We start from the raw sequence: 8736 nt of genomic DNA, 5'->3' as shown, positions 1-8736 counted from the left end.
GACAGAAATGCAAAACATGTCGTCAAGGAAAAGGCTGTCATCTCTACAGAGCCCCGTCCAGGGAGCCCTGACACCTTGGCCGAACCCACTCCACCTGTGGAAGCACACACTTAGAGGAGGTCTGAGGGTGCTCTCTGGGCAGCCCCATGTGCCCACCCACCCCTCACTCCATCTCCTTCCACCCAGATGGTGCCCAGTGCTGGTCATGCCAGGCCCTGTGGTGGGCACGGAGGTGCTGAGGTCAAGCACACAGGGGCACTTTCCATGCCTGGAGGGTGCGTTGGAGAAGCCCTGAGGTTCCAGGCTCTCAGGGCGCCATTTGGCATCCAGAGGGTGGCATGGAGTGTGCGTTGCTCATCTAAGTCATGATTCTACTGTTCTGTGGCAGACAAATTCCACAAATGCTTCATCTCATGGGACACTCTCCCCATTGCCCAGGCCACGTGGTTCATGCAAACCTGTGGTCAGGGCTCTGCTGGGCACAGTCCATCCTGCCACAGCCCAATGCGGGCCCACCCAGCCTGGCTGCTCCCTAGTGGGCTGAGCACTGAGCCACGTAACCTGCAAGGGCTTGGGGGCTTGGTGACCTTCAGAGGAGCACTGTCAGCTGCTGCTGTCCTTCCATGGGGATGCTCGCTGGGTTCACACAGGCAGGCACTAGTGTGTCATGCTGCTGAGCTCTTCCTGGTCCCAGGTAACATTTCCCCTTCTCTTTCCCCCACGCCTCTGCTCCCTGTGGGATGGTGTTAGGTGGGCGTCAGGAGGACGGCAACTTACGGCCTAAACTGTTCACATCAGTCAGGGCAGTAAGAGGGCCGGTAAAGTGCACTTGTTACATGGAGAGGCTTTGGGCCAGACAGCCTGGTTTTGACACCTCCTTGCTGTGAGACCCTGGGCCACAGGCTTGACTTCTCTGAGCCTCTTGGCATTTTTTTTTTTTAATCCCTCTCTGGCAGAGGAGGGGATGCTCATCAGATATTCTGTCTGCTCCCCACACTTCCTAGTCTTTTTGGGGGTCAGGCTGGGACAGGTGACTTGTTCTGGCTAATGAGCTGTGAGAATAAGTGCTGTGTATCACCTCTGAGCAAAAGCCTCCAGGAGCCAGTGCCCACCCTCCAGGGAACTGTGCGTTCTGGTTGATTCAGCTCCAGCCAGTGGTGCCTCCTCCACCTGAAGCCCTGAGGGAGATTAGACTTTGTGCAGTAAAGCCACTGGGATTGGGAGCATTGTCACCCTGGTGTGACAAGCCTGTCCTGGCCATGCTATCTTCTGCCACCACACTGTGTGTGAGGCCCACGGAAGGCCCACAGCAAATGCTGTCTGTTAAATGAATATACACGGCCTTACCTTGTTCAGGTAGCAGCAGACTAAGAGGACCTGGAATTAGTGGATTTCCCAAGGTGCCTCTTATCTGACCTCTGACATGTTCTAGAACATTCTACACATTAAAAGCCACAGAGCCCAAGGGGTTCAACAACTTTCCCAGGTCATGCTCTGGAGAAGCACCTTATGTGTTGTCAATGGCACTTCTCTTTCATCATTTAGCTGTTCCAGAAAGCATGCTAAGCACCTACTCTGCACTGTACACTGTGCTTGGGACTTGGCTGCAGTAAGCCTAGCTCCTGCTCTCAGCAAGCTGCCAGCAGTGGGCAGGAGCTGGGCAGCAGGGCCTGGTGATGGCAGTGCTGGGGTGTCTGAGACCAGCCCTGCAACCCTGCTCCATAGTGCCTGCACGGCTTTCCTGGTGCAGGTGCAGTTTTGCATCAAACATTTATTAAGCAGCTACTGTGTGCTAGCACTGTGCTAGGCTCCAGGGACCCATATTGCTGTGAGCTTAGTCCTGCCCACTAGAAGTGCTCAGTCAGGAAACAGGAATGTATAACAGCATTTCCGACTGGCTGTGGTGGGCCCCTCCTTCTGCCTTGTGATTCCACCTAGCTCCACAGGTGCCCAGTGATGGAGCCAGAGATATCACTGCATGGCCCCATCTCCCCTACAGGTGAGTGTCAGTGCTGGGCCCGGAGGTGCCCTCCCAGAACAGATGGCACCCAGCCATCAGCGCCTGGTCCCACCGGGGCTGTGACAAGAGGGTGCACGGCTGGCCATCTCGGACAAGTGGGGACAGTCCTGAGGGGTGTTCTGTGCTCCACAGGGCCCTGCTGCTTGGCCACAGCTGTGCAGCCTGATCAGCCCGGCTTCTTCCTTCCCAGGTTCTCCAGGCCTAGTGAACATCTCCTACCCAGGTGACATAGAATCTGCTGCCACTCGGTCCCCGTTGCCGATGATCAGCCCCTATCCCTCAGAGGTCCTCAGATACTCCCTTCGTGTTGTGGGCCACTGCCTGCATTTGGGCACCATCTTCCTGGACCCAGGTGCCTGCAGCAGCTGCTGCACTGTGGGTCCCCTTGCCCCTGGGCTCCTGCAGTTCCACATCTATGATGAGTGAGTCTTTTCTTTTCTTTTCTTTTCTTTTCTTTTCTTTTTTTTTGAGACGGAGTCTCGCTCTGTCGCCCAGGCCGGACTGCGGACTGCAGTGGCGCAATCTCGGCTCACTGCAAGCTCCGCTTCCCGGGTTCACGCCATTCTCCTGCCTCAGCCTCCCGAGTAGCTGGGACTACAGGCGCCCGCCACCGCGCCCGGCTAATTTTTTGTATTTTTTTTAGTAGAGATGGGGTTTCACCTTGTTAGCCAGGATGGTCTCGATCTCCTGACCTCATGATCCACCCGCCTCGGCCTCCCAAAGTGCTGGGATTACAGGCGTGAGCCACCGCGCCCGGCCGCGAGTCTTTTCTAAGGTTCCAGCTGACTAGTCACAACTCCCTAGATCAAAACTGTCCTGCTAAAGCTCAGGCTCTGCTTCCTGGAACGCAGGTCCCTGAGTCTCAGTCCCTGCCCTGCTGTGGCCCCATCATTCCCTGAGTCTTGCACGCCCTGTCTGGTGTTAGGAACGGAGAGGGTCATGCCTCAGCCCTGAGCCCTGCTGTGCTGGGATGTGCTCCAGAGCTTCTCCTGGATGGTGAGGTCCTGCGGAGCCAGGCCTGGTCTTGCTCACCTGGTCACCCAGTGGAGGGGCTGATGGCGGGCGGGGGCAGCCTGGCGGAGGCAGGTGGTGACCCTTCAGGAGCTGCCTCAGGACAACAGGCTGCCTTTGCTGGCATCAGTGATGATGAGGGTGGGTTGGGGCTGGTCTCCTGAACATCTGGGCTTCTGAACATGTTCAAGGACCCCCGGGGAACCACTGCTGTTTTTTTTTTTTTTTTTTGAGACGGAGTCTCGCTCTGTCACCCAGGCTGGAGTGCAGTGGCGGGATCTCGGCTCACTGCAAGCTCCGCCTCCCGGGTTCACGCCATTCTCCTGCCTCAGCCTCCCAAGTAGCTGGGACTACAGGCGCCCGCCACTACGCCCAGCTAATTTTTTGTATTTTTAGTAGAGATGGGGTTTCACCATTTTAGCCGGGATGGTCTCGATCTCCTGACCTCGTGATCCGCCCGCCTCGGCCTACCACTGCTGTTTAACGCCAGTGCTTGGCCCCGGCTGGCGTATGGTGACCAGTGTCCGTGAGAGACTGAGGGATAGCATGGACCCTGGCAAGGAGGTCACATATGAGTGAAGTACCTGAGACGCTAGTGCTCTGAGGGCTGGAGAGGGGACCGGAGCTTCACACATGGGGACCTCCTTGAAAGCCCAGTAGGAGCCCTGGGGGCCGAGCGAGAGTTTGCGTTACCATGGTTGGGTGTGGTGGGTGGTGTGTGTATGTGTGGGTGTATGTGTGTAGTGTGTGTGTGTGTATGCCTATGTGTGGTGTGTGTGGTGTGTATATGTGTGTGTGACGTGTGGTATGCATGTGGTATGAGATGTGTGCATGTGTGTGGTATGTGTATGGTGTGTGTGTGTGGTGTGTATGTGTGTGGTGTGCATGTGTGGTATATATGTGCTATGTGGTATATGTGTGTGTGTGTGTGTGGTGTGCCTGTGATGTGTTCATGTGAGTAGTGTATGTGTGCTTTGTGTGGTGTGTTCACGTGAATACTCTGTGCTGTGTGTGGTGTGTTCTTGTGAATGGTATATGTGTGGTATGTGTGGTATGTTCATGTGTGTGGTATATGTGTGGTGTGTGTGGTGTATGCATGTATGTGTGCACTGTGTGATGTTTATGTGTGTGGTGTGTTCATGTATATGGTATATGTGTGGTGTGTGTACGTGTGCAGTACATGTGTGTGTGGTGCATGTGTGGTGTGCTCATGTGAGTGGTATGTGTGTGGTGCATGCATGTGTATGGTATATGTGTGGTGTGTGTGTATGTGTGTATATGTGTGGCATGTGCTTGTGTGTGGTATGGGTGTGGTGTGTGTGTGGTGTATGCATGTGTGTGGTGTATATGTGGTGTGTGTTGTGTGTGTGTGTGTGTGTGTGTGTGTGCACACCCATGGGACATGGAGTGCTGAGGGCATAGAGGGCACCCAGGGGTTAACAGGTGCTGGGTTGGGTCTCAGCTGAGATCCCAGGATGGACTTGCCCACAGATGCCATGGACCCCCGGGGGGCCCTGTCTTCAATTCGCCCATGGTGACTGTGCGCTGCTGATGGGGTGTGTGGGGGATGTGTGGAATTGGGGGAAGCCTGGTTCTGCTGCTTCCCACTCCACAGGATGCCCCTAGGCACCTGGTGTCCTTACAGGGGATGAGCCATCCTTGCAGGGAACCCAGGGAGAGGCTTCCTCCACCCGGGTGATACCATATTCGCTTCCTCACCCAGCCTCCAGGACGGTGGGGCTGTGCTTCCTCCACCCGCGTGATACCATTTGTTTCCTCACCCAGCCTCCAGGAAGGTGGGGCTCTGCTGTCTACAGACAAGCATGCTGGGATTGCAGAAGTTGGTTGCCATCCTCGGGTTGCAGAACCACCAATAATAAGAAAAGTGAGCGCTCGGTCCTGGCTCCTGCAGGCAGCTGGGCTGCTGTGGGTGCTGGGTGAGGCAGGGGCTGTGAGGGTGTGGGGCATGGGTGCCCACCCTCCTGGACGCACACTGAACACTCACAGCACTCTGCTGGGGGTCCTCGCCCGACCTTGCAGATGAGCAAACTGAGGCTCAGATAGGCTAATGTTGCTGGAAAGTCGCTGGGCTACTTGGAAGGCTTGGGATTGGAGCCCAGGGGAGGGAGCCACCAAGAGCGGCACTCTCCCTCCGGTGTGATTTATGAGACGAGCAGGGCTCCTTTCGTTTTCAGCAGAGTTACATGTTTTCATTCCTGGATTAGCTTCAGCTTCTCCAGGACCCCTGTCAATTAACTGTGCTTGGAGCTACACTTTTAACAAAATTACACTTAATCAGACTATCTGTGGCCACGAGGGGGAATCTGAGAGGCTGGGATGCTGTCTCTGAGCTTCGGGTAATTAAAAATCCAGTATTCTCCATGAAGGAAAAAAGACCTAGAACCACGATGGCCTGAAAGTAAACATGATTAAAAAGTCCTCCTTCATAATCCTCATTCTCCTTTCCATTGCTGAGGTGTGGAAACTATTTCTTTTCTAGTCCTGGGCTGAATGTCAAAATTTACATTTAAATAGGCCTGTATTGTAGCGAGCCTGGGCCCTAATGAGAGTGTTAATGTGCCTAGTTTCAGAAGTGCAGCTTGATCAGCGTTCAGCCTGGAAACCGGTTCCAAGCTCTGTAATGCAGGTCTCTGGGCCAGAAGCTGCTCTGCCTGAGGCAGCGTCACGTTTTGCAGGCCACTTCCTTTGGGACCTCAGCAATCGAATGGCATCTTTATTCCCTGGTTCTCTGAGTGTGAGATGTGGCTCCTTTCTTTCCTCCTGCAAACCCTGGGGCAAGAGTGGGGAGGAAAGTGGGGTCTGTGGAGCCTGGGTGCTTTTCCACTCCCCAGCTGGAGCAAGCTGTTTGTCCATATCCACTGTTGCCACACTCCCATCTCTGGGGACCTGGGCAGGCTCGGTATGTTGAAGCCTCTTTAAGGAAGACCAGCTTAGCAGCTTAGCTGACCCTGGAATCCTAGAACACCCAGAGATGTCTTTTTAAAGGGAATGGCCACTTCAGCCTATACTGACAAGCGTTGTTGTGGCTCACGGTCAAGAGACTTTGGATTTGGGCAAAAAAAAGGAGGTTGAGCCGGGGCCTCTCCCAGCATGTGGTTCAAGGAACACATCTGTAGGTGTCTGATGCAGAGCCCACGAGGTGGCTTCAGCTGCAGCCACCATCTACTGTGGACCCACAGCTGTTGGCCGGCGTGGCACAGGTGCTGGGCACATCAAGGCTGAGTCTAATGGCATCGGTGTGTAATCGTCCCTCTCCCTCTTTGCAGATGGCAGATGAGGTGCTGGGTGGCCCCTCAGCCACCCCCAGGCCACCATTTAAATTCTAGTCAGAGCCAAGATTTGAACCAAGCTTGCCTGGTGCCTGGACCCACTAAGGGCAGAGCCATTTTTTGTGAAATTTCTCCCCACAGGTTGGAGACAGATGTCTGGGACACTTATTCTGGGCACATTCGGGAGAGAAAGCAGAGGGCTGCCTGCAAGAGTGGAAAGACTCCCGCAGTGGCTGGTCAGGCCACCCTCCCTGCCCCCAGCACTGTTGCTGGATTTGCTGGCTCACGTGCTCTTCCCCTCTCGGCAATGAAACCACCTTTGCAGAGTTACATGTAATGAGAAAAATCTAACATGACAGACTCCATCTTGCTTCTAGCCTCACAGGCTAAGTTGATTTTTTTGCTTATTCAAGTTTGGAGGCCAAGAGAGCTATGAAAGGAATTTGGTTTGTAGTTAAACTTTGAGGCAAGGAAAACTGACCCCTCCTTGTTTGGAGATTGAACTGCATCTATAAGACAAGGTTAGGATATGGTAGGGCCTGAGCTTTGCTGGAGAAGACTCAGAGGGAAACCATGACCTGCCATTGGTTTGCTGCCCCTGAATCAGGTAATTGGAGATTGCAAGGTTGGTTAACTTCCCCATCTACTCCTATAGATAACATCACTATTGTGAAATGTAAGGAATGGGTCTTTGAGATGTTTTGCAGATTTAGCATTTTGGCAGACCAAAAGACACCACCTGGACTGTGATCCCTTTCCCAGGAACCGACTTGGCTGCACAGAGACAGTGCTGACACTCCTGTGGTTTCATCCCCAGCCCAACCAATCAGGATTCCCTATTCCCTAGGCCCCTGCCTACCAAAGCATCGGAAAAACCCTAGCCTCTGAATTCTCAGGGAGACAGATTTGAGAATTCTCTCCCCACCTCCTCATTCGGCTGACCCTGCAATTATTAAATTCTTTGGTGCAATTCCTGCTAGTCTCAGTGCATTGTCTTTTTTGGGCAGTGGGCGAGAAGAACCCGGTTGGGCAATGACAGCAACAACAGTTCAAGATGTCTGCACTGTTCTCCCACCCCAAGCTCCTCCCTCACCCTCGGCGGGTGACCCCACTTCTCTGGGAACATGGAAGCCATTCTGGGGTTTCTCCAGTTTCCATCCGCAAGCCTGGCTGCCACCTGGCATCTGCAGCCATTTCTTCTTCCCTCCTTTTGTTACAGTGGAGGGCTGTGCTCATTCTCTTTCTGAGGCTGTCGGCCCTTCTGGGCTCTGGGTTCCTCCCCTTCTTTCTGCTCAGGGAACTCGCCTGTCCATGAACCCCTTACTCCCGCATCTCCAAACTCTCCCACCTCTTCCTTCCTACCCTTACATCTCTCTGGTCTTACACAGACAAAAACCAGCCAAGCAAACAAGAGAGTCATGTCCTCAGAGCCGAACTTCTCGAGTTCTCCTTCATGCCTCCCCCGTGCCCGTCTGCCGGCATTCCCTCCCTGCATGCATTCCCTCCATATGTGGTCTCACAGCTCCAGAGACCCCCAGGGATGGAGATCGTCATCTGCTCATCTTTAGCCCCATCTCTTATGGGAGCTTCAGATCCTATATCCAGTTGCTATCTGGACATCTTCACTTGGGATCCCCTGAGGCACCTGGAATTAGAGTGCCTGAGACCAAGTGGACCCTTGGGAGTTTCAGCCTGGCACACTCATGAGAGCATCTGCGGAAGCACTGGTGTATTTTAATTGTCTCTCTCCTCTCTCTCTGCCTCCCCGCATTAGACAGAACAAATCATATGCATTGGTTTTGAGTTTCTTTATCTTCAACAAAGGGTTACAGTCTCCATCTTAAGTTCTTCCTGGTGTCTCCAGAGAAGTGACTCTCAAACTGGGGCATGCATCAGAATCACCTAGAAGGCACTGAAACACAAATTGGTGGACGTCACCCCAGGTTTCAGATTCAGCAGATCTGGGCTGGGTCCTGAGAATTTGAACTTCCAATAGATTCCCAGTCCTGGGGACCACACTTTGAGAACCACTGTTTTTAGAGGATCAGATCAAATACTTGAAGAAAGAACTTCTCTTAGCTTAGAGCAAAATTGAACGTTTGCATGGACTTCCCTGGCCCCCTTCAGTTCTCCTCAAGTCCCCTGCAGGCCTCCAAGGAGTATCAGCCATAGAACATCCATCCTCGGCAAGGATGGGGCCAGCATTAGATATCTCTCAGCTTAACAGGAAAAGAGAGAAGATGGCAGAACAAATCATCAAACGATCAATTTACAATCGCCTAAGAGAGCAGCAGCTACACCGTAGCAATCAATACTCAATGCAGACGTGACGATTGAGAGAATGATTGATCTCCCTTCATCAGGACCAGCTCTTCTTGCAGCAGGGAGGGTGCCCTGTCCTCCAGGGGCATAACT

At 53.5% G+C, this 8736-nt stretch overlaps 2 annotated features.

Moving 5' to 3' along the window:
- Nucleotides 4957-5579: an enhancer, noted in NCBI's record as "OCT4-NANOG-H3K27ac-H3K4me1 hESC enhancer chr2:130515866-130516488 (GRCh37/hg19 assembly coordinates)". NCBI's record gives its function as "activates a minimal SCP1, AML or CMV promoter by ChIP-STARR-seq in naive H9 embryonic stem cells {active_cell/tissue: H9 hESC(naive)}" and the evidence as "EXISTENCE:reporter gene assay evidence [ECO:0000049][PMID:30033119]".
- Nucleotides 5580-6201: an enhancer, noted in NCBI's record as "OCT4-NANOG-H3K27ac-H3K4me1 hESC enhancer chr2:130515244-130515865 (GRCh37/hg19 assembly coordinates)". NCBI's record gives its function as "activates a minimal SCP1, AML or CMV promoter by ChIP-STARR-seq in naive H9 embryonic stem cells {active_cell/tissue: H9 hESC(naive)}" and the evidence as "EXISTENCE:reporter gene assay evidence [ECO:0000049][PMID:30033119]".

Source organism: Homo sapiens, chromosome 2, assembly GCF_000001405.40.
Source record: "Homo sapiens chromosome 2, GRCh38.p14 Primary Assembly".
Taxonomy (NCBI): Eukaryota; Metazoa; Chordata; class Mammalia; order Primates; family Hominidae; genus Homo; species Homo sapiens.
This window is presented reverse-complemented; position numbering and strand designations above follow the sequence as displayed.